The 27007-nt window shown below is 37.2% G+C and overlaps 1 long non-coding RNA gene across 2 annotated transcripts in view; it reads left to right on the top strand.

Moving 5' to 3' along the window:
* LOC105369743 (uncharacterized) overlaps positions 1–27007 on the top strand; it is a 178153-nt gene that overhangs the window by 64778 nt on the left and 86368 nt on the right. For both annotated transcript variants that reach the window (XR_944886.3, XR_944887.3), the window contains exon 4: positions 21996–22756. This is a non-coding gene — a long non-coding RNA (uncharacterized LOC105369743). The remainder of the gene's footprint in view (positions 1–21995; positions 22757–27007) is intronic.

Raw genomic sequence — 27007 nt, 5'->3', positions numbered from 1 at the left:
TATGCTGAACTTTTAAAAGCTCATTCCTATCTTCTCACTCAACTTGCCTACTTCCTTCTAGCTTACTCTGTCTACTGGACCACACTCCATTGAATCTGTTAAAAACCAGAAAGGTATATTTGTAACATTTACACAATTAGTTACAGTAAAAAAAAAAAAATACATGTGAAATAACATTAATTTAGAAGTATTGCTTCCCCCAGCCCCCAGTCTTACACTTCATGAAATACTTTGATTCAAATTCTTTCTGAACAACTCTGACATCAGTGTCTCTGTCATTTTGGGGGCCACTTTCTGACCTGCCACATGCAGTGATTTAGGGCATATCCTGATATCCATTTAAGTTGCATGAGAATCCAAACTATTTGAATCTGTGTTTGATACTGTCACTAGAAATTTTATCCTACCCCCAAAACATACATTTACATAACCTTAAAAAACTATTTTAGAATTCATTAGGTGAACATTCATTATGTTTATTCTGACCTCTTAGAGTGATTCAAAAAGACTTGCATCATGAGCGTTTTCTGTTGCCTTCCAGAAATAATTACCTATGTTAAAGATTATCTTCTTTGTTTCTTTTTTTAAAAACACAAATTCTACCAGATTACTTTATGAGCATTCAAGCTAGCACCAATTATGGTCATTTTAGGGAAATATATCTTTCTCAAGATATTCTGACATTCAAAATTTAGTAACTAAAACAGTGCCTTATAATATTTGGAGGATTTTCTGAAGAATTGAATATGAGGCAGTTTTTTTCTGATGGATAATTTAGGGAAAATAATCTCCCCCACCTTATATTTTGGTGTATATGGTAATTATTTTTCTTTTATGAGGATAATGGAAACAATTACCTTATTGGGTCATAATGAAGATTAAAGGAGATAATTTAAGTAAGGTCCATGGTACAGTGCCCAATACACTGTAAGAGTTCTAACAGGTTATTATTGTCATTAATAAGTAATATGACACTATATTATAGATTTTATTTCCACAGCAAGTGGGAAAGAAGAAAAAGTGAGCATGGAATTCTTCCCTTCTGCTTTCTCTGTTGTGGATTAGATATGAGGCTTGTTCTGACTATACAGCCTTCCCCAAAGCTGTCAGAAGATCTCACTGGGGTGTATAATGCATCATGGGTGTGACCACCAGTTGCATTTGTCTGCCTGTATCCCATTAGGAAACAATAAACACTGGGTTATTTTCTTACTTATCTTGCCAGATTTAGACAGCTATATTTCTTTAATCACAGCTGCTGTTTGTAGGCAGTTTGGACTTCTCGCACAATTTCAGATCAGAATCCTAAATATGACTTGTTATCATGAAATAGTCTTGCCTATTTCTGAAAATATGTAGACGTCTTTCTTTTCTTCAGCCCCTTAGGCAAAATTGGGCTAGATAACAGTGACTTCAGAAGTTACTTTTGTTAAGACTTTTCAAAACACAGATAAAGAGACAAAACAATCTTCAAACCTCCTTGCTAGTAACAATAGTAGAGTCATTATTTTAGCGCCTCTGTAGTTTGAAGTGCAAGAGAGAGGGAAAATATCTGTGTCACCCTGTTGGTCTCCGTATCTTTATCCTGAAACTATGAAAAGACTGGCCAATTACAAGAATAAGAATGGCAAAGCTGGAATTTTTCCCATAACTGTTATCTTCTTCATCCTATGAATTTAAAGATCAATCTGAAAACAACTTATGTTGCAGTGTGATTCAAGTAAGTGCAATTATTAGGGTGAATCAGGGAAACCTGACAATGTGATTTCTTGTCACATTAAAGGAAGTACTATCCTTATAGTTTATAGAATGAAGGGTACTTTAAGGCAATTTGGCTCAAGTTCAGAGAACATTTCACTATGAGAATGGATTTTAGTTTGACATGGAGCGTAGGCAGACAGATGTGTATCAAATAGCATCTGGAGCATATGAAAGCTAATTTTTCACTACCAGTAAGATATAAATATAGTATGTTTCTCATTTTAAAGTGTCATTTACATCAACCAGAAATGTGATATATTAGAGCGAAAAAATCATAGCCTCTAAATAGTTCTGCCGTGGAGTCCTCATCTTTGAATAGCTGGGCAAGGATGGTGAGGACTCCTGTCTTTGAATAGGAGCTTAAATCCAACTGACTATTGTAACATTTACATTTGATTGTCTCAAAAGCACATTTTACTCATCATCCTCTCTCCCAAACTTGGTCCCCTTTCTGGATTTCCTGTCTTGGTACATGACACCATCATCCAATTAACTGAACAGAGCATAAGTCCAGGAATTATTCTGACACCTCTCTCTTCCTCACTTTATTATCCAACTCATTTCTTCTTTAACTGTGTACTCTTATTCTGCTTCACTGTGACCATACTGTTCTAAGCCACCATCAGAAGTCACCTGGCTTACCACAGTGGTCTTGTGTTTTAAAATGTACCTAGGATTTGTTTGAATCAGGTATGGTAGGACATGCAGACATAGAAATGACTGTCATAAAGGAAGACGTTGACATTCACAGATCCCTAGAAACAGGAGGCTTGGCATGCCATGAAGGGGCATCCTGTGGGGAAACACCAGGGTTGGTCAGGAGGAAGAGGAAGTGAGGGGAAGGTGTGGGCAAGAGACTGTTGTAGTGACCATGGGAAGAAATGGGTGAGGCAGAATAAGGATTGGCTAGTGTGAATAATCTTGGCAGGCTCTGGGGCATAGCACCTATTCCAAGTTGTCTGGTGACTGGCTGTGGGGTGATGGGGACAGGTGAATGGGGCCCAGAGTCAAAGAGCTAGAGAGAGGAGTTGGTTGGGCTTTATGAGCATTGGGTGATTGTTTTACATACAAAAGGTGTACTTGCAGGAAAGTTCTTTACTATCTCTAGAAATTAGCTAGCCTTGGGAGGGACAGTCCCTCCAGGGTCAGCAAAGCCCCAAATGTGAAAACATCAGAAACACATGATTAATATACCTTTTAACAGTCTCCTTGAATCCAGTCTTCTTCACCAGAGTGAGAGAGCCTTTACAAATACAAATATGAAGACATCACTCTTCATTCCTTAATCCCTCAATATTTACCTATTGCTCTTCCTAGAAGTTCCTAAATGATCTGGTACCTACCTACCTATTGGACTTCATCTGGAACCCTCTTTTTTTTGTGAACTCCAGCCACACTAGCTTGTTTTCAGTTCTTGAAATGTGCTGTCTTCCTCCCTGGGCCTTTACATGTGCAATCATCTCTAAGTGGAACATTCTTCCCCGCTTCCTCTTCCCCATAGTGGTACCTAACTGCTCTGGAACTCTCAGCTTCCTCAGGGAAGTCTTCCCTTTAATCCCCAGACCACATTATGTCTTAGACCCTGTTTTAGGCTCTCATAGCATTTCATGATCCTCCTTCAGTACACTTATCAAGGTTTGTGATAATATGCTGATTTTGTGATTAATTTCTGCTGCCAGGGATCCATGAAGGCAGAATTGTGTCCAAGTGACTCATAGTATGTTCCTAATTTCTAGCAGAGTGCTTTAATACACACAAGAGGCTTCAATAAATATGTGTTGTGTGAGTGAATAAATGCCAGTCTTGGTTAAGGATATAGACAATATTTTCAACTTAAAGACTGAGTTGGAAAAACAGAAACGGTTTTCCTGAGCCTGTTTTTTAAAAAATGCTTGCAGTTGATACATAATTGCTCTGAGTGATGTGTTATCAGAAGTGATGGGAGCCATACCAGACTGTCTCTACTGGGCATTGTGTGTCATGGCAATAAGACATTTGACATGATTTGAAACATGAAGGAAATAGATGTTGAAAAAGCATAAATATATGGAAGTTTTTCTCTTCTCAGGATCATCTGAAAATTGCTCTTGGTGGCTGATGGCATGTTTTATGACTGACTCCACAGGGAACATGAGGAAAGGTGGTCTGTGTAAAGTTCTTTTTCTGTTTTACATAGAAAGAGAAACTTTGACTTGTTTTTCTTCTAATTATTCTTTGTAAAAATTTAATTATAATGACATGACACAATGTTAATCTCCAGATATGTATTCTTAAGAAATGATCCTAAAGAACTAAGCATCTATACACTGGATTAGTTAATATTAGACTTGAGCTCTTCATACTCTAGAAAGAATGCCCAGATTTCAAATTTTAAGAAAGGCAGAGGATGTAAACTGAGTAACTTAACATAACTAAAGCGCCACAGAACAGAGCTGACAATTCCCTGTTAAGAAGACTCTACTATCCTAACAGGAGATGTCAAAGCTTTTTGCTTTATATCATTTCTAAAGACTGAGTGCATTTTAAAATATATATATTTTTAATAACATGATTCTCTACTTTCTACTTCACTTTTCCCTCTCTAGGGCATATTTTCAGCAATGCACAAATTCGGTCAGATGAATTAATGCAATTAACTAGATCAGATGTTGCAGCTAGACAGTCATGGTCGCTATGGCATATATTTGATCTGCACAATACTCTTGTTTACCCTGCAAAAGGCTTAAAGTTGTTGCTTTTTTAAAAAATATTTTGCAATACTTAAAAATTAAGAGGCTATACATTAGCATCCGTACCTTTTATTGAAAAAAAGGACACTCTGGGTTCCCTGAGCCCTTAAACAGGAAACACACTTTCCAGTGTGCCAGAGTCCTATATGGACCTTGTCACATGTCTACATTACCTGCCTGGCCCCTCAAGGCATTTGACTTTGTGACTCTTAGTATATAAGATGCTAGCAATTGCATTAATTATCTGTTTGCTCTGACTATATAGAGGGTCTTTTTGTAGCCTATTCCACATAAATACCTCCTTTCTGAAATCCAGAATATTAAGACAATTTATAATGAGCAGAGTGGGATGATATATCTTCTGGACCACCCCACTGTAAATATATACTTAATTCCCTTCGACCTTGTTTTCTTAAGGATTTTTAAAATGTACTTTTTATAAAATTTCCAGGTATTTCCCTTCCTCTTTGTGATAAAGAAGAAAAGTTTCTGGGCTGCTTGATTCCTAAGATTTAAAAGATGGCATGCAATGATTATAATAAATGTCACTGGGCCATTGCCTAATTTTTTGAATATCCTAAGTACCTTAGTTTGTAAATACCCTAAGTTGTTATAAGAAAAACCATATGTAGGCTGGGCACAGCAGGTCATGTGTCAAATTCTAGTATTTTCATGGCCGCTGGGAGCTCACTATCTAATCCATCTCTCTAACCACCTCCCTCTACTTCTGCTGTTACTTATCTTGCACATTGACCAGCATGGCTACCTCAGCTGATTTCTATAACCTATTTGATCATTGCCTAACATGTGTCTGAAATTTCTTCTGTTTCTTTGTTCAAAAATAGAAGGAAGAGATCTGATTGGCCCAGATTATTCTGTGGATCTCCCTCTCTTTGAGTCAAATGTTCACTTCTTACCCAACCAATTGTGGTGGGAGGAGTCATGGAGCCCAATGCCCAGTCTGCCAAAGTTATGGGTAAAGCAGGAAATAATGGTATAGGTGGAAGTTTTGGCAAGGTGATCACGCTTGAGTCTAGCTGCAGCTAAAGGATATTTGCCCCTCTAGGGATATAACTGGTGGAGAATGCTGTTCATACAGCCCTGTGGGGGGCTTGAGAAATTAGGGCAGTTCAGGAGTCCAACTGACGTGGTTGGGATATTTGTCCTGCCCAATTCTTATATTGAAATGTAATTCCCAATGCTGGAGGTGGCGCCTGGTGGGAGGTGTTTGGGTCATGGGCGCAGATTCCTCATGCCTTGGTGCTGTCCTCATAATAATGAGTTCTCATGAGATCTGGTTGTTTAAAATTGTGTGACACCTCCCCACCCTCTCGCTCTTGCTCCTGCTCTGGCCATGTGATGTGCCTGCTCCTGCTTTACCTTTTGCCATGAGCTCCCTGAGGCCTCTCCAGAAGTGAAGAAGATGCTGGCACCATGCTTGTGCAGCCTGCAGAACTATGAGCCAATAGAACCTCTTTTCTTTACAAATTACCCAGTCTCAGGTATTCATTTATAGCAACACAAGTATGGCTTAATACAACAATTTTCAAAGTTTGAACAAGACTTCCATTCATTAGTGGCAGATAGAGCTATAAAATTCAATTGGGGTGATGAACAATGGGAGCATCATGGCAAGTAAGATGATGAATACCCAGGAGAGTTGAAAATCATTGTGGATCAGCAAAGGCTCCCCTGCTGTAGCAAAGTAAACAGCGGCTGAGGGCATGGAAATTCAAAGCTTGGCAATTCACATGCTCTTACTGTGACTTAAAGGACTGCTACTGAAAGTCTGATTTGTGGGCTTGATGGAAATGTACATTTTCAGGCCCAAGTCCAGACCTAATGAATCAGGATCTCTGATGGTGGGATCTTGGCTGTCCAGGTGATTTGGATGCTCACTGCTGTTTGAGAAGCACTGGCTTAATGGAGAATCTTCCCTACCTAATTGAAGACTTAAAGATGAGGAAGAGAATCTGTCTGGGAGAGGTGTGGGTGGGCTAGTTCTGGGGTTTGAAGATCTTTGAGACAAACGGAAGTTTAAAAGTAGCATCCCAGCATTGGTAAGGGAAATGCTGTTTACTCTTGAGAAGATGTTGCTTTAAATAAGGGGCTGAGCTTTTGAAAAAGGAGAACTTTTGGAAAAGTACATTGTCTGAGTCCATTTGTGTTTCTGTAACAGAATACCTGAGCCGGGGTAATTTATAATGAACAGAAATTTATTGGCTCATGGTTCTGGAGGCTGGGAAGTCCAAAATCAAGGTGCTGGAATCTGGAAGGGCCTTCTTGCTGCATCAACACATGGAAAAAGTCAGAAGGGCAAAAAGAGAACACACTCACTTCTGTGAATCCTATTTATAATTGCATTAATCCCTTCATGAAGGCTCTGTCCTCATGACTTAATTACCTCTTAAAGGTCCCATTGCCCAACATATCACATTGGGGATTAGGTTTCAACCTGTGAATTTTGGAGTGGACATAAACATTCAAACCATAGCACATCTCTTTCATTCTACCCCTGGAACACCTGAACTGACTCATAAGATCAGAGATAATGATGTCCTCCAGTCACACCCATCTATGAGTGAGGTTAAGGACATGGCTCCAAGTGTACACACCTATAGACTCAGACTTTGTGGATACCACACTTATCAGAAAACACTCTGTGAGAGCCCCACACAGCGCTGGCCAGCTGTAGCAAATGCTTAAGAGTTTTCTGTCCAACATGAATTCTTATAAAAAGTGTAAAAGTAAGGCTACATTTCTTTATATAGTGGGTGACTATATAAAGTGTAAAAGTAAGGCTATATTTCTTTATATAGCAGGTGACTATCAGGAAGACCTTTTTGGTTTTCTCTGGTGGCCTGGGAATATGTAGATAAATACGTGTTTCATTCCAAATGTAGATATATTTTTATCTATAGTGGTTTATCAAGTAGAATGTGATGTTTGTGAACCAGGCTGGGCACTTTCCCTTAAAGTCAGGCTATTTTACAGAATTTTTTAAAAGCTGCTGGTCACCAGTCTTCTCCTGTACTTCTTGATCTACCTTGCTCCTAAAATAAGTACAAAGGACACTGGATAATGTCCAGCTACCCTTGATATTATGGAAATAGACAAGATGACTCTACTTTATATTATTACATGAAGACCAACCTGAATCAGAGCTTTGCCATTTCTACCAGTTCCAATTATTACAAATATCTTTATCAGTTTTTCAATAACATTCTATCCTGGCTTGGCTAACAAAATTGATGGATTTTGACATATAATATTCATAGACACTAACAGAACTGTTATTATAGCCACAGTTGTGATAAATTGTTTTCAAAGATGCATATTTGAAGGGAGGCTGTATGGTTAAATACTGTTCTACAAGTCCAGATCCAGATCTGTCTGCAACACAACCTCAGAAAATATTGATTTTAAATTAAGTATGACATTTAATCTTTTCTATCAAAACGAAAGATCATATAAAAACAAAAAGGAAGATAGAGGTTGGACTTTTGAAAATAAATGAATAAAAAAGTGACAGTAACTCTTAGACAAAATTGGGTGATATTTGGAAAGTAACTTATTCATGAATTAGTGAATTTAGATGTCGTCATCTTTTAGAATATTAGTTTATAAATCTAACTTTTTTGGTAAACAATCTTAGCTGATGAGACAGATTGTGAAGAAAATCGAATTGCATTTATAAAGTATCATTTGTGTTTCATTGTCCTTAGACAATGCAGTGTGTGAGAGGACATCAAATTTCACTATTTTCTCTCCTACATCAAACTGATGGGATCTCAGGGTAGTCACAGATATGGCTAATGGCTGGATCCAGTAGGCCACAATTATCCCCTCAGATCCAGTTGATAGAACTTCAAATAATAAGTTATTTTACATAAAGAAAATATTCAAGAACCATATGAAACATTTCATTCTTTCAGTCAGACAGAGCACCCAATAACTTGCTTTTGGAAATAATGACTATTTATCACAAGCTCTAATGCGAGGCTGTGAGTGTCCATTGTTAATAATCTGTTATTTTAATAAAGTTGTCTGTAACATATTTGAGGTTGCATGACCCTGGTACAGCATGGTTTAGGCCAAAATCCTTTGTGTCAGACTGAGGGGAGGTGGAGGTGTCCTTCTGCAACACCCATTTTTTTCCTTTTGAAATAGAGTCTTGCTCTGTCATCAAGGCTGGAGTGTAGCGTGCAATCATAGCTCACTGCAGCCTTGAACTCCTGGGCTCAAGTGATACTCAAGCCTCAGCTCCCTGAGTAGCTAAGACTATAGACACTCGTCACCACACCCAGCTTATTATTTATTTATTGTTTGAGATAAGCTTTCACTCTGTCACCCAGGTTGGAGTACAGTGGCCATGAGGATGATGAGCACGGCCTACTGCAGCCTCTCTCTCCTGGGCTCAAGTGATCCTCCCACTTCAGCCTCCTGAGTAGCTGATATTACAGATGTGCACCACCACACCTAGCTAATTTTTTAAAACTGTTTGTAGAGATAGGGTCTTGCTATGTTGTCCAGGCTGGTCTTGAACTCCTGGGCTCAAGCAGTCCTTCCACTTTGGCCTCCCAAAGTGCTGGGATTATTGGCATGAGCCACTGTGCCTGGACCCAGCTAATTTTTAAAAGTTTTTTTTTGTAGAGACGGGGTCTCATTATGTTGTCCAACCTAGTCTCAAACTCCTGCCCTCAAGTGATCCTCCTACCTCAGCCTCCCAAAACATTAGGATTACAGGTATGAGCCACTCCACCCAGCCTCATTTTCTTTCCTTGATAAAGGACATCTAAATATAAATCAGAGAACCATATACAAATCTCCAATTATCAATCTATTAGCACTTGCCAAAAAAACTGCCTGTTTTCTGGCCATGTTGGTTATACTTAGTTAATTAAACTTGGTAAAAAATTATCGAGCCTATTCTAAGTGTAAGGCACTATGGAGGATGCAACTATAATAAAATGTATAAGATAACAATGACAACGTGATTGTTAGGTCTTTATCGTTTCCAAAGTACTGGCAAATTCATCATCTCCTTTGATCTTCTCAATGACTCTTACCCCTTACAGCTAGAAAACTGAGGACCAGGGGTCACGTGACTCACAGCAATTTACATGGGTCATGGGTGACAGAACTCACAGTAGAACCTACCTCCTGCACCTTCCTAACAGAGTTTTCTCCATGACTCTTATCTGTGCCCAACTTGCAACATAGCAATTGATTTATTGCCATCCATTCTTTATTGATGAACACCATGTGCTGGAGAACATCAGTGTAAGAAGGATTTCCTGGCTGCTGAGCCACTCTTAATACAGGACATGAAAGATGCTACCTGCCAAGTAAACCTGACCCAGGCTGTGAGAGGTTTACGGTATTAACAGGTGTGCATCAAGTCATCATCAATCACTTTAACAGTGCTGCTTTTGTTATTTTTAACCTTGCTCTGAAGTGTGATGCCTTTGTTAACACTCAATTTTGAATGGAAGGAAAAGAATATTTCCCTCCTGAAGAGCATGGTTACTTTATAAACTGCATTGTAGGACAAGGCAGAACCCACTCCTTCCTTGACTTTGTGTGAAATCCCCTCCCTCAGTCTAGAGAGTCTTATCTAATTGCAGCAAATCTCAACATTTGGCTTCTTTTTAGCATTTATTGTATCTGATGAATAAAAATCAAATTATAAATGAAGGACACACAGCCCAGCATTAGGGCTTGAAAAAAATAGCCATTCTTATCCAAGATGAGTGGTCAGGTGCATCTGTCTGACTAAAAGATTAAAAGGTTTCCAACCTTGAATTCCACAATACTCTCCTTTTTCACTCCCTTATCTAATCCATCAGCAAGTGCTCATGGCTCTATCTCCAAAATCTATCTCTTCTGCCCATTTGTGTCTCTCCCTCCCCTCACACCCCCTGAATCTAAGCTACCAATACTTCTAGCCTGCCCTTTGCTGGTAGAAGCCCATACCACCTAACAGTTTCCTATTTCCTTTTGCTCTTGTCCCTATGGCTGTCCAGCCCCTGCCCAGTGACCAGAGAAATGCTTTTAAAATTGTAAATCAGGCCACTTCCTGTCTGAAATCTCACTGGTTTCCCATTGACATTAAACTAAAATCTAGACTCCTTACCTTGGCCCTGTCCGCCTCCAGCCCTCGTGGCCTTCACTTCTCCCTTGGTGCCTGCTGCTGCAGCCACACACACGTGCAGAACACGTCCAGCTCCTTCCCATCTGTGGTAGGCTGAAAAAACCCACTCTTCTCCCCTGCAAATATATCCATGTTCTAATCCCTGGAACCTGTGACTGTTATATGGCAAAAAAGTCTTTGCAGTGTGATGACATGAAGCATCTTGAGATGGGGAGATAGATCCTCCTGAATTATCTGGTGGTCCCTAAATGCCATCACAAGTATCCCTGTAAGAGAGAGGCAGAGGGAGACTAGCTGGACACACAGAGGAGAAGATTTGAAAATGCTGGCTTTGAAAATTGGAGTGATGTGGCCACTAGCCAAGAAATGCTGGTGTCACCAGAAGCTGAGAGAGGCAAGGAATGAATTCTCCCCTAGAGCCTCTGGAGAAAGTGTGGCCCTGCAAACACCTTGATTTCCAACTTCTGGCCTCCAGAACTAGGATGGAATGAATTTCTGTTGTTTTAAACCACCAAGTTTGTGATAATTTGTTTCTGCAGCCACAGGAGACTATCATATCATCTTAGGATTTTTATGATTCCTCTACCTACAGTATATTTCTATGAAACCTTACATCTGCACCTTTAGGAGTTAGCTAAAATATCACCTCTTCAGGGAGAGCTCCCCTGACATTGGCACTAAGGTAGCTCAGTGCATCCAGACATTCTTTATCACATTGTCTGTTTTTTTCTTCATCTTCTTTGGGGAATTATTTATTTATTTTTTGACTTGCTCATTATTCCAGCATATAAAACAGTGTCTGACATGTGGTAGATGCTTACTAAATATTTGTTAAGGAAAGGAAGAAAAGAAGGAAAAAATATTACTGATTGCCCAGTGATAAAGAAAATATTTAATAAACATCTGGGCTTTTGAAAAACCTTTGGCTTTTATGATGAATATCTTCTACTACAGATAGAGTTACCTATATGCAATCTTAGAAAATGAAATACAAGGTTATATCTGAATTTCAGATAAATGCAAATATTTTTACTTTGAGTGTTTCCCACAGAATAAGTATGTTCCACCAAATATTGCATGGAATATACTTATACTAAAAATTGTTTTTATATGAAATTCAAATTTAGCTGGTCATCTTAGTTTGTTTCTCTTCCCCCTCCCCTTCATCTGGCAACCCTAACTGAGGATCACTACAGCTCTCTGTCATAAACAGAGATTGTTATCCTGTAAGCAGATGAAGGGATAAAGTAAACAAACAAATCCTTCCTTTGAAAGTCTTTTCTCATGCAATTATTCTTCAAAATCTTAGAATTATATACACATCAGTAAGTTTATCCTCCTCTCTGAAGGAAAACTAAAGAAGAGACATTCACTTACTCTCATCAGCCCGGGAAAGGAAGGCATCCACTGTGTTAGAAACAAGCCCTAATAGTTTTTCGTGTGAATCTCTATGCATAATGCCTTAATTGGGCAAAGTCCGGCATAGTGGAACTCTTTACACATGTGAAGGCAATATGAGTATTTGGGGCATGTTTTGATTCTTTTGGGGGAGTTTGGGATGAGATTTTGTGCATGTACCCTTTACTTCCCTCATATCTGACGCGGGTTGATAAAATAGACAGAAGATGGACTGACACTAGGGCTTTCTGGTAATGACCACTTTGTTGGCTGGGGCCTCTTACCACCCATCCCAGTGGAAGACAGTAGGCCCGGGAGCACATCCCTGGTTGAGCACATATCGGGGAGGAAAATATAGTCCTGGCAGCTCTGGCAGGGGCAGGCCCTGCTCACTATGAGAGATCAGAGAAGTCACCCTGTTGCTGTGAGAGCGAGAGCCCATTCATCAGGGTTTAGTGGTGCTCAGCCTGCCAGATCCACTGATAGAGAGGGTGGCCTGGTAAATGTCCTTTCTGACCAGCCAGACCTCTTCCCATGGGGAGGAGAAATCAGGGGTTTGAGGGGTAGGCATTCCCTCTTTGGCACTGCCCTCTGACAGAGAAAGTACATTGCCTTCTCTTAGGGTCAAAGGAAGAATATGAAAAGAGGAGCATAATAACTTCTCCCTAAAATGCTGCTTCAGGAGAAAGCAGGTATTTACAGAACAAAGTTGTCAGTACTATTGATAGACGTGACCAACCTTTAAGGCTGCCAACATGAGAGATTCCCTGTAGAACCAAAAGGTTTCCACTGGGCAGCAAAAGTGTTTGAAGACCTAATAAAGCATACTCTATGAGTTGTGTTTACTTTAAAGTCCCTTAGAAATCTAAAAATAGGAAGTTCAATGTTGAAAGGCTGCCCACCAGTAAGGAAACAGGTTGCTAGCCATCCATATGCACAGCCCCAAACTCCGTGCCTCAGTTTGCTTGCAGAAGTACAACAGGGGCTCAGTGCTACTCAGTTCTTCCCAGTGAGTTCACCCATCACAATACAGGAAGACATTCTAGGAGAATAAATTCAAATAATGACTAAAAATTTAAATCCATCTCTAGGAATAATATTCCTTTCTTATTATATCATAAACAAAATTCCCCTCAATCATGCCAGGAGGAAGGGAAATAAGTGTCTTCATGAGGCCCCTGTCTCATTTTTCACAATTTTTCTTGGAATTTTGTTTTAAATAAGACCACAGACTATCACAAAGACAGTCTCCTTTTTATTCAGCACCAACTTAGAATAAGTTTTGTGATTCTTTTGTTTTCAAAAATACATTAATTTCACATTTTAAAGAAGAGACTGAGCCCTAGTGGCTATGAATAGAATTTAAGTGTGCTTTTCAAAGACTTAAAGAGCTGAGCTCGAGGTAAATTCACTCTTCTGGATCACTGTTTAATACAGTCACGTGTTTGCTTAACGATGGGTTGTGTTTTGAGAAATGTGTTTTTAGGTGATTTTGTCATCATGTGAACATCATAGAGTGTCTTTACACAGACCTAGATGGGATAGCCTACTGTACACCTAGGTTAGATGGTATGTATAAGCCTATTGCTCCTAGGCTATAAACCTGTATAGCAGGTTACTCTACTCAATGCTGTAGGCAATCCTAACACCATGGGAAGTATTTGTGTATCTAAACATATCTGAACATTGAAAAGGTACAGTGAAAATGCAGTATTACAATCTTATGGGGTCGCCATCGTATATGCAGTCCGTTATTGACGGGAACAATGTTATGTGGTACATGACTGTATTTCCAATAGGTAATTTGCCCAAATCTATCTGATGTCTTACAGAAATAAATGCAAATATAGTGGATAAATCTGTGCAATTGGGTTATTTCATTTGCTTTTAAAAGCCATGAGATCTGGATCAACTTGTGTGCAAGAAGATTCTCAAGTTTAGCTTCACAATGCCTATCATGTGCTTCCCCTTTTGTAAATTTCTAGCAATATTTGAGACCCTTTAGAGTTGCATACATTTGAAAACTCTCTTTGATGTCTATTCAATAAATTAAAAGATGGATGAGGCTAGGCATGGTGGCTGACACCTTAATCCCAGCACTTTGAGAGGCTGAAGTGGGAGGATGGCTTGAGGCCAGGAGTTGGAGGTTATGGTGAGCTATGATCACCCCACTGCACTCCATCCTGGATGGCAGAGCAACACCCTATCTCTAAAAAAAAAAAAAAAAAAAAAAAATTAATTGTAAAAAAGTAATCTCATACATTTAAGATTTTTATTATTAAAAATACATATGTTCATTGTAAAAATTTTGAAGTATATCAAGTAAAATATAGAAATTTTCTTTTCTTTCATTCAAATTCTATACTCCAAAGATACCCATGATTAACAATTTGAGAAGTATCCTTTCAGATTTTGTTTTGCTATGCACATAGAAACACATATGCAACTATATTTTAATTTACTTTAATCTTTATTATGAAACATTTCAAACTTTAAAAAATAGAATAATATAATTAGCCAGTATACATATATCACCCAACCTCCACTGTAATCAATTCATGGTCAATCATGTGTCATCCATGTTCCCACCTATTTTCTTCCATCCCTCACTGGATTATTTGTAAGGAAATCTAACACATAATAACATTTCATTAGTAAATACTTTAGTATTTATCTTTAAAAGATAAAAACGTTTAAAAATCATTATCACACTTAAATTTTTAAAAATTACTCTTAAATTACATCAAATACTCAGTGTTCAAATTTTTCCTATATATAGATATATCTTTTACAAAAAATGGAACTATACTAGACATAGTGCTATATAACTTGCAGAAAAATTTAAACTTTAAAAAATATTAGGCCAAAGAAATTGTTGGGATCCAATGAGACTCTTGAGCTTATGCTTTTATATCCCTCTTATTAATTCATAAAATCTTACTTATCTGAGGCCTGGCTTAAGACTTCCTTTGTAAACAGCTAGTAATATTGAACATCTTTTCATGTGCTTATTTACCATCTGTATCTTATAAATGAAACGTCTGTTTATGTCTTTGCCTGTTTTCTAATTAGATTGTTTGGGTTTATTTTGGGGTTTTTTCTTTTTACTGTGGAATTTTGAGAGTTCTTTATATATTCTAGATATGAGTCCTTTGTCAGATATGTGGTTTCCAAATATTTTCTCCCAGGCTAAAGCTTGCCTTTTCTCTCTTTTAACAGGCTCGTTGCCTAAAAACATAGCAAATGGTTTTAACTTTGATGAACTCTAATTTATTAATTTTTTCCCTTTATAGATCATGCGTTTGACGTCATGTCTAAAAAGTCATCATGATGTATTCGATCCCAAAGATTTCTCCTATTTTGTCTTCTAAAAGTTTCACAGTTTTATGTTTTCATTTAAGTTTATGATTCATTTTAAGTTTTGCATAAAGTATGAGACTTAGGTCGAAGTTCATTTTTGCTGTGCATATCCAATTGCCTCAATAGCATTGGTTGAAGAGACTACCTATTTTTTTTCTTTTTGAGACAGTCTTGTTCTGTCAGCCAGGCTGGAGTGCAGTGGCATGATCTCGGTTCACTGCAACCTCCGTCTCCTGGGCTCAAACAATTCTCCCACCCCAGCCTCCTGAGTAGCTGGGATTACAGATGTGTGCCACCACGCCCGACTAATTTTTGTATTTTTAGTAGAGATGGGGGTTTCACCATGTTGGCCAGGCTGGTCTTGAACTCCTGACCTCAGGTAATCCGCCCACCTCAGCCTCCCAAAGGGCCGGGATTACAGGCGTGAGCCACCATGCCCGGCCGAGACTACCTATTCTTCACTGAATTGTTTTTGAACCTTTGTCTAAAATCAGTTGGCTGTTTCAGTATGCAGTTATTTCCTGGTTCTCTATTTGATTCCACTTGTTTATGCTTCTATCCCTCCACTGATATCACATAGCCTTGGTTACCGTAGCTATATAGTATATCTTGAAATTGGGTAGATTTATTCTTCTAGTTTCATCTTATTTTGAAATTGTTGTAACTATTCTATTTCTTTTGCCTCTCTGTATACATTTTTAAATAATCTGGTTTATAGCTATAAAAAATCCTGTAGGAATTTTGATAGGAATTGTGTTAAACCTGTGTGATAGATAATTTTTTGTGCCACTTGACTAGGTCATAGGATAACCAGAAATCTGGTTAAACATTATTTCTTGGTGTCTCTGTGAGGATGTTTCCATGAGAGATTAGCATTTGAATCAGTAGAGAGAGTAAAGCATATAGACCTCCCTAATGTTTGTGGGCGTCATCCAATCAATTGAGGGGCTGAATAGAACAAAAAGGTGGAGGAGGGGAGAATTCCCTCTGCTTGACTGCTTAAGCTGGGACATCAGTCTTTTCTGGGTCTGGAAATTATACCATTGGCCTTCCAGTTCTCAGGCCTTCAAACTTGGTTTAAAACTTCCACCATCAACCCTCCAAGTTCTCAGGCTTTTGGACTCTACCTGAACTAAACTATAGCATTGGCTTCCCTGAGTCTGCAGCTTGCTGATGACAGATCATAGCTTGCCATCCTCCATAATCACATGAGCCAATTACTCATAATAAATCCATATATATATATATATGTATGTATATATATCCAAGAAATTGCAGATTTAGTTCCAGACTACCATAATAGAGCAAAAATTGCAACGAAGCAAGTCACACAAATGTTTTGGTTTCCCAGTGCATATAAAATTATGTTTATACTATATTGTAATCTGTTAAGTGTGTGATAGCATTACATCAAAATCATGTACATACCTTAACTTAAAAATACTTCATTGCTAAAAATTGCTAACAATTGTCTGAGACTTCAGTGAGCCCTTTGTTGCCATTTGAACAATGTTCACAGCATCTTCACCAGGAATAGATTCCATCTCAAGAAATCACTTTCTTCTCTCATCCATAAGAAACAACTTCTCATTCATTCCAATTGGATCATGAAATTGTAGCAATTCAGTCACATCTTTGGGCTTCACTTTTAATTCCATTTCTCTTGTTCTTTCTACCACGTCTGCAGTTACTTCCTCCGTTGATGTCTTGAACCTCTCAAAGTCATCGATGAGGTTGGAGTCAACTTCTTATAAACTCCTTTTCATGTTGGTATTTTGACCTCCTCTCATAAATCATGAATGTTCTTAGTGGTATCTAGAATAGTGAATCCTTTGCAGAAGGTTTTCAATTTACTTTGCCCAGATTCATCCAAGGAATCACTAGCTATGGCAGCTATAGCATTAGAGAATGTATTTCTTAAATAATAAGACTTAAAAGTTGAAATGACTCCTTGATCCATAGGCTGCAGAAAGGATGTTGCGTTCACAGGCATAAAAACAATACTCATCCTGTGTTACATCTCCATCAGAGGTCTTGAGTGACCAAGTGTATTGACAGTGAGCAATAATATACTGAAAAGAATCTTTTTCTGAGCAGTAGGTTTCAACAGTAAGCTTAAAACATTCAGTAAACTATGCTATAAACAGAATTGCTGTCATCCAGGCTTTGTTCTTCCATTTATAGAGCATAGGCAGAGTAGATTTAGCATAATCCTTAAGGGCTCTTGGATTTTCAAAATGGCCAATGAATACTGATTTCAGCTTAAAGTCACCAGCTGCATTAGGCCCTAACAAGAGAGTCAGCCTGTCCTTGGAAACTTTGAAGCCAGGCATTGATTTCTCTTCTCCAGCTATGAAAGTCCTAGATGAAATCTTCTAATACAGGGCTGGTGCAGCTTCCTTGAAAATTCATTGCTTATCTGAAATGCTTGAGATCAGAAGTGTTTTGGTTTTGATTTTTTTTGGATTTTTTGAATATTGTATGTACATAATTGAAAATCCATTGTTCAGTATAGCCACCTTCATCAATGATCATAGCTAGATTCTCTGGATAACTTGATGCAGTTTTTCCATTAGCACTTGCTGCCTCACCTTGTACTTTTACGTTAAGAAGATGGCTTCTTTCCTTAAACCTCATGAGCCAACTTCTGCTAGCTTCCAACTTTTCTTCTGCCACTCCCTCACCTCCCTCACCCTTCACAGAACTGAGGAGAGTTAGTCCTTGCTCTGGACTAGAGTTTGGCTTAAGGAAATGCTGTGGCTGGTGTGATCTTCTGTCCAGACCACTGAAGCTTTCTCCGTATCAGCAATGAGACTGTTTGACTTTCCTCTCATTTGTGAGTTCCCTGGAGTAGCGTTTTTAATTTCCTTTTATAACTTTTCCTTTGCACTCACAATTTGGCTGTTTGGCACAAGAGGCTGAGCTTTTGGCCAGTCTCAGCTTTCTACATGCCTTCCTCACTAAGCTTAGTGATTTCTAGCTTTTGATTTAAAGTAAGAGACATGCAACACTTCCTTTCACTTGAATACTTAGAGGCCATTGTAGGGTTATTAATTGGCCTAATGTCAATATTGTTGTGTATCAGGAAATAGGGAGGCCTGAGGAGAGGGAGAGGGATAAGGGAACAGCTGGTTGGTGGAGCAGTCAGGACACACAAAACATGTATCAATTAAGTTCCCTGTCTTATATGGGTGTGCCTTGTGGCACCCCAAAACAATTACAATAGTAACATCAAAGATTGCTGATCACAGATTATCCTAACAGATATAATAATAATGAAAAAGTTTAAAATATTGTGAGAATTACCAAAAGTAACACAGAGACATGATGTGAGTATATGCTGTTGAAAAAATTATGCTGATAGACTTGCTCAATGCAGGATTGCCACAAACCTTCAATTTGTAAAAAAACACAATATCTGCTAAGCACAATAAAGTGAAGTGCAATAAAATGATGGATGCCTGTATATAATATATATATATGTATGTAATATATTTTATTATCTATAAAGGGACTTATGGGAAATAGGCTCATATAAACATCTGTAATATATTATAAACACAAATATATACTTATATGTAATATGCATGTTATATGTATGCAACTTCTATATGTTACACAACCTACATAATAGTTTGGAAGAATTGAAATTTTTACGATGTGGAGTATTTCAATGTATAATCATGATATGTCTCTCCATTTATTTTGATCTTCTTTGATTTCTTTCATGAGCATTTTAAAATTTTCATAATACAAGTACTGTGCATGTGTGGCTAGATTTACACCTAAGTGTCATTTTTTTTGAATGCTGTTTTTCTTTTTCACATGCTACCTGCTTGCCATAACACCGAAGTGTCATTTCTTGAGCATTTGTAAGTGATATTATATTTTAAATTTTGGTTTTTGTGTGTTCATTGCCAGTTTGTGGAAATACAGGTTGCGTATTGCTTATCGGAAATGCTTGAGACCAGAAATGTTTCGGATTTTGATTTTTTTGGATTTTTTTAATATTACATTTACATAATGAGATATCTTAGGGGTGGGACCCAAGTCTAAAAATAAAATTTATTTATGTCTCTTATACATGCAGCCTGAAGATAATTTTATACATTATTTTTAATAATTTTGTGCATGAAACAAAGTTTGTGTTAGGTACTTATATGTTAGATACTTATATATGGAATTTTCCAAATATAAGTGGCATCATATCGGTGCTCAAAAAGTTTTGAATTTGGAACATTTCTGATTTCAGATTTTCAGATTAGGAATCCTCAACCTGTATACTCTCAAGAAATCTCCATACAACATCTTAGAACTAATAAATGAGTTCAGCAAGGTTTCAGGATACAAGATCAACATGCAAAATACAACTGTATTATATTGTTTTACAGGTTATCTACATGCAAAAAAAGAAATTGGACTTTACCTTGCACCATTTCAAAAATTAACTAAAAATGAATCAAAGACCTAAATATAAGAGATAAAACTATAAAACCCTTAGAAAACTCTTAGAAAAAATAGAAGAAAGTCTTCATGATATGGCATTTATTTGATAAAGATTTCATGTATATGACACCAACTGCACAGCTCATGAAATTTTAAAAAGATAAACTGGACTACAGGAAAATTAAAAACCTCCATGCATCAAAGACATGATCGACAGAGTGAAAAGATAATCCATGGAATGGGAGAAAATATTTGCAAATCATATATCCGAACAGGGGTTAACATCTAAAATATATAAAGAATTCCTACAACTCAACAACAAAAATACCCAAACAACTTTTTAAAAAATAGGCAAAGGACTTGCTGTGATTTGGATATGGTTCGTTTGGTCCTGCCAAGTCTCTTGTTGAAATTTGATCCCCAGTACTGGAGGTGGGCCTAGTGGGAGGTGTTTGGATCATGGGAGAGGATTCCTCATGAGTGGCTTGGTGCCATTCTCACAGGAGTGAGTGAGTTCTCATTCTTATTTTCCACAAGCACTGCTTGTTAAAAAGAGCCTGGCACCTCCTTCTCTCTCTCTTGCTTCTACTTTCTCCATGTGATCTCTGCATGCTGGCTCCCCTTCACCTTCCACCATGAGTGAAAGCAGCATGAGACCCTCACCAGAAGCTGAGCAGATGCTGGCACCATGCTTCTTATATAGCCTTCAAAACCATAAGACAAATAAATCTCTTTTTGAAGTAAATCCAGCCTTGAGTATTTCTTTATAGCAACACAAATGGGCTAAGATAGGACTTGAATTGACGTTTCTCCAAAGACGATAAACAAATGGCTGTTCAGAAGCATAGGAAAAGATGGTCAACATCACTAATCATTAGGGAAATGCAAATCCAAACCACAATGAGGTACCACCTCACACCCATTAAAATGGCTACTATCCTATATATAGATATATATATAATTTATTTATATATAAAAATACATGTTTATTTATATGGCTTTATATATATAAGTCCAATATATATTTATGGGATTATATATTTTTAAAAATGTATATTTTAAAATATAATTTATATAATTGTATATATAATTTACATTATATATTTATTTATATATTTATAGTAGCCATTAAGATGGCTACTATCCCATATAAATATATATATATAAAATCATATATCTGAACAGAGTTCAGATACATAAATATAAACATAAATATTTTTATATATAAGATATATAATGTCTATTTATATACAAATAAAACATCTGAAAAGAGGTTCAGATGCATAAATATATATATTATATATAAATAAAATCATATATCTGAACAGGGGTTCAGATATATAAATATATATATATATGTGTGTGTGTATGGGATAGTAGCCATCTTAATGGGTGTGAGGTGGTACCTCATTGTGGTTTGGATTTGCATTTCCTTAAGGATTAGTGATGTTGACCACCTTTTCCTATGCTTGTCAGCCATTTGTTAACTTCTTTGGAGAAATGCCAATTCAAGTCCTATCTTAGTCCATTTGTGTTGCTATAATGGAATACTCGGGCCTGAATTTATAAAGAAAAAAAGGCTTATTTAGATTGTGGTTCTGAAGGCTATATAAGCAGCATAAATATATGTTCTCTTGTCCCTCTGAAGATATTAATATGAAATTTTCAAAAGCTCTTTATGCCCTATTAGCTATATTTGTATAGGTGTTGACTTTTGAGTTTATTTGCTATATACGTGTTTATATATATATATATATATATATATATATATATATATATATATATATATATATATATCTCTATTGACTTTTGAGTTTTACATATATATACAGACACACACACACACACTCACACACACACAGATAGTCCCCAGCTTGCAATGGTTCAGCTTTTTAAAAAAATTATTTATTTAACTTTTTTTTAGAACAGGGTCTCACTATGTTGCCTAGGCTGGTCTTGAACTCCTGGGCTCAAGGGATCCTCCCACCTCAGCCTCCCAAATTGCCGACATTACAGGTGTGAGCCACCACTCCTGGCCTGTAACTGTTCAATTTAATGATTTTTTTAACTTATGGTGGTGCAAAAGCAATATGGTTTCTATGGACTGTGTATTCAATGCATACTATTTATATCAAATGTTTGCACAGGCTGTTGAAGTGACTGAATCTGGCCAAATATTCTGAGCGTTTCGGAGGGATTTTTAACATTCTAAATGCTATCTGGAACATCGATGCAGCATGGGAAGAAGTCACACAGCCATGCATGAACAGCATTTGGAAGAAAGTTTTGAAGACATATGTGAACACATTCAAAATGTTAACAGAGATTCTGCCGTATTCATAAGCTTGTTGGCATCGAGGCTGAAGAGCTTTCCAATGAGAAGCTGGAAAAAGAAAGAAGTAAAGAAGTTGGGGCAAAGATAGAAGAAATTGTTCCTGAGGCACCAAGAAAGTTCATAGCAAATAAACTGGCAGCGGTGTTTTCTACTATCAGCAGTGGTGTGTGAATGTTAGGACAAATGGGTGACAATTACAATTGCTATCACACACATATTGTTCCATAGTCTCTCCTGTTCTTTGCCAGCCTTATTACCTTTTCTTTTTTCCCTATTAATCCAAGAGCTCTATGGGAGTAAAAAGGATGCTCTTCCTTGCAATGAAGAAATATGTAATGAAAAGAAAAAACATATTGTCAAAACTTGGTATCTACCTGAAGAACACTTTGCCTTCTAAACCATAAACAAGTGTCAGTGTCCCAGTGCCTTCTGCCAGCTATTCTCAAGACTCATCAGAAGAGAGTGAAATTGATGACTCTGTAGCTGTAGCATCCCCATTATCAGCACTTAATTTTAGCTTAATGCTTTGAACATTCTTCAGGCTCAGTGTGCTTTCATCTGTACACATTAATGGTGAGTATCCTTATAATAATTCTGTTTTCATTTTCAGTATAGTATTCAATAAGTTACATGAGATATGTAAAGTGTCACACTTTATTATAAAATAGGCTTTGTGGAGGCCATTATCCTTAGCAAACTAAGGCAGAAACAAAACCAAATACAGCATGTTCTCAATTATAAGCTAAATGATGAGAACTCATGGACACAAAGAGGGGAGCAACAGACACTGGGGCCCACTTGAGGGTGGAGGGTGGGAGGAAGGAGAGGGTCAGAAAAAATAACAATTGTGTACTTAGTACCTGGGTGATAAAATAATCTGTACAACAAACCCCCATAACATGAGTTTACTTATAAAATAGGCTTTGTGTTAAATGATTTTGCCCAACTGTAGGCGAATGTAAGTATTCTGAGCACATTTCAGGTAGGCTAGGCTAAGCTATGAAGGTCAGTAGGTGTGTTACTGGACACTGTGCTAAATGAAATAAGCCATTTACAAAAGTATAAATACTATATGATTTGTCTTATGTAAAGTACCTAGAGTAGTCAAAATCAGAGAGACGGAAAGTATCATATTTGTTGCAGGGGTTGGGAGGAGGGAAAATGGGATCTTTTTTTATGGGTATAGAGTTCCAATTTTACAAGAAAAGAGTTCTGGGGATTGGTTGCACAAACATGTGAATGTATTTTAACACTATTTTGAAAGGTACGTTTAAAAATGATTAAGACGGTAAATGTTATGCTGTATGTATTTTGCCACAATTTAAAAATTTTAAAGAAATACTTATATGCTAGTTAAATACACAAAATAATTGACAACTAGGAATGGGAAATAAAATTCATATATTTTAGCATATTAGTTAACATGGCTCCAGTGCTTAAACATCATAGCTTCCTGTCATCCAGGGCAAAAAAGGAAATATGATAGGTTTCATAACCATCTTACTAAAAGGGGAAAAGAATGTAGTCATTTGGAAGAGGTACACTTTTCCTCAGCATGAAATCCTTGTTACTCATTCCCTTGTAGGTGGCATCAGTTATTTTGTTTGTTTAATATTGTTTTGTTGTACTGTTCACTGAAAACTTTTAGGATTTTTCTCCTTATCTTTGATACACAAATTTTTACTATGATGTATCTATCTAGTTTGGGTCTTTTTTCATTATCCCAGGCTCTGGTAGACACTATCAATCTGAAACTATATGATTTGGGGGGAATTTTCTTCTATTATTCTTTCGATTATTTCCTCTTCTTGATTCTTTTCGTTCTCCTATTTTTCCACTCCTGCTCTTCTGCAGTGTCTACCATACTTATATTGGGGTTTCTGGAGTTATTTGCCACATCTCTTTACTGTCTTCCTTTTGCTTTATAAGCTGAAAAATTACTTAATAATTTTCAATATTCCCACTTTTTAATTGGGTCTTTAGTTATCTCATTTTTCTACTGACAATTTAGATATTATTTATCTATTTACCTTGATGGTTTAATTTTTATATTTATGTTTATATTTATAAGATGCCCAAGTGGTTCTTTTTTATATCAAGGTCTTCTCATTTTGTGAATATTATGTCTTATCTTGTCCCTCAGAAGATATTAATATGACATTTTAAAAGACTCTTTGTGCCCTATTAACTCTATTTGTATAAGTGTTGACTTTTGAGTTTATTTGATGTGCCTCTTTCAAGGTGTTGCTTTTCTTAAATGTTTAGTGATTCTTAGTTGTGTGTACATCTTTGGGCTTCAGGTTCCCTGTTCTCATTTTTGTGGCTACTACTTTATATATTGTATACCATTAGTATAGATTTATCATTATTTTTTATGCTTTTAAATCTTGTAGAAGAACAAAAATGGAGTTATGAACCACATTGTGATAATACTGGTTTTGTATTTTTTGATGTATTTACCTTTACCAAAGAACTGTATATTTTTATATGGTTTTTTCGTAACTGTCTAACATGCTTTTATTTCAACTTGAAGGAATCACTTTAGTATTTCTTATAGGGCAGTTCTGGTGGAAATGAGCTTCTTCATTTGTTTATCTGGAAATGTCTCAATTTCTCCCACATTTTTGAAGAATAGTTTTGTAAGATGTAAAATTATTGGTTGACAGTTTTTTTCTCTCAGTACTTTTAATACATCATCCTGTTTCTCTTTGGGTTTCATGGTTTCTGCCAAGAAATCTACTGATAATCTTATTGAGGATACCTTGTATGTGACAAGTTGCGTTTTTCTTGATGCTTTCAAGAATCTCTCTCTTTGTCTTTTGACAGCTTGATTATAATGTGTCTTGGTGAGCTTACACTACTTGGAGTTTGTTCAGCTTCTTGTATTTGTGTATCTATATATTTCTTCAAATGTGGGGAACTTTTGGCCATTATTTCTTCAAATAAGCTTTCTGTCTCTTTTTTTTAATTTTATTTTTGCTTTTTGCTTCTCAGACTTGATAATTTCAAATGACTTGTCTTCAAGTTCACTGATTTTTTTTCTTCTGCCTGTTTTAGTCTTTCATTGAAGCCTTTTAGTGAATTTTTAAATTCAGGTATTGTGTTTATTAGGTATTGTGATTTCTGTTTTGTTCTTTTAAAATAATTTTTATCTTTGTGTTGAAATTCTTACTTTGTTCATGTGTCATTTTCTTGATTTTGTTTAGTGTTCTGTTCATGTTCATTGGCCACATGTAAGTTGTTTTAAAATTTTTGTCAGGTAAGTCTGAGGCCTGTGATTCTTCAGGGACTGTTTTGGAGATTTATTATTTTGCTTTTGAATTGGCCATATTCACCTGTTTCTTTGTATGCATTGCAATCTTTTATTGAAAATTGGGGATTTGAGAAAATAGCACCGCTCCCAGTCTTTGCAGGTTGGCTCCATGCAGGGGAAGACCTTCATTAATCAGTCCAGCATGAAGGCTCTGAATCTTTTCTGGGAATGTTTTCCCTGGTCTTCCATGTGTGCTTTCTCCTCCAATTCCCCCATCTGCATGGCTGCTTTTATTTTATTTTGTTTATTTATTTATTTGAGACGGAGTCTTGCTCTGTCACCAGTCTGGAGTGCAGTGGCGAGATGTCGGCTCACTGCAGCCTCTGCCTCCCGGGTTCAAGCAATTCTCCTGCCTCAGCCTCCTGAGTAGCTGGGACTACAGGTGTGTGCCACCATGCCCACCTAACTTTTTGTGTTTTAGTAGAGACGGGGTTTCACCATGTTGGTCAGGCTGGTCTCAAATTCCCAACCTCAGGTGATCTGCCTGCCTCGGCCTCCCAAAGTGCTGGGATTACAGGTGTGAGCCACTGTGCCCAGCTGGCTGCTTTTAAACATCTTAATTTCTGTGAGTCTCAACCTTGCTTCTCAGGGCCTTAGATGTTCTGTTGTATTTCTCTGCTCATGATCTCTTGCCCCAGGTACTTGTAGGTCTGTAGTCCTCCTGTAGTTATCACATGCCAAAGTGCCCATTCCTGCTTCCAGGGGCCTCCAAGCTGATATCTAAACTATGGCACTGTTTCCATTCACTGTCCGAGTCACACAAGACATAAACCAGTCACCCATGCATCCCTCAGACAAGCCAGAATGTTGCAAGCAAGTTCCACTCATTTTCTTTGGTCCCAAGGGAGGAAGAACCAGGAATTGAGTGGTTGCCTCTTAAGCAAGCTACACTGCATGAAGGAGAGCATAGGGAAAGGGTGAGCAAAAATGCCATGAAATGTCTTACCCTTTTGAGTGTGGCTTTTTCTTGGCTTAGTATTTACTTGTTTTGTACAACTTCTTAACTAGTTTCCCAAAGCTACTATGGTCCATATGTTATTTGATGTTTCCATGGAGGAACAAGGACCTAGAGCTTACTAGTCCATTATCTTGTGGATCTCCTGTATAGCTCTCCTGTCTTTTGATGTAAGTAAAATTCCACCTAAGACATAGAGCTTCAGATTGACAGTGCCCACCAAAAATCTTTTCTGGAAATATGCCATAACAAATTGAATAAATAAACTAAATTCATATCACTTAAAAGGAAAGTAGATAGATTATGGAAAATGATGTATTTATCCTTCAAAGAGTTGAATGAAAGAAACTAAGATTTTCTTGAAGACAGTGCTCAGAGTAAGTGCAAAGAGGTGCTAAAGAAACAGTGAATGGTAGTGGTTTAATTGGCTAGATACCTGGGGGAATAAACGTTTTAAAAGGACCCCCAAATAACCTCTAGTTAAACAGAAAATAGTAAGATAATATTTAGTGATGGTGCTGTAACATTTGGAGATTAATTAATTGGCACTTAGGAG

The sequence above is a fragment of the Homo sapiens genome, chromosome 12, assembly GCF_000001405.40.
Source record: "Homo sapiens chromosome 12, GRCh38.p14 Primary Assembly".
Taxonomy (NCBI): Eukaryota; Metazoa; Chordata; class Mammalia; order Primates; family Hominidae; genus Homo; species Homo sapiens.
The sequence above is the reverse complement of the archived record's forward strand: the minus strand, read 5'-3'. Positions and strand labels throughout refer to the sequence as shown.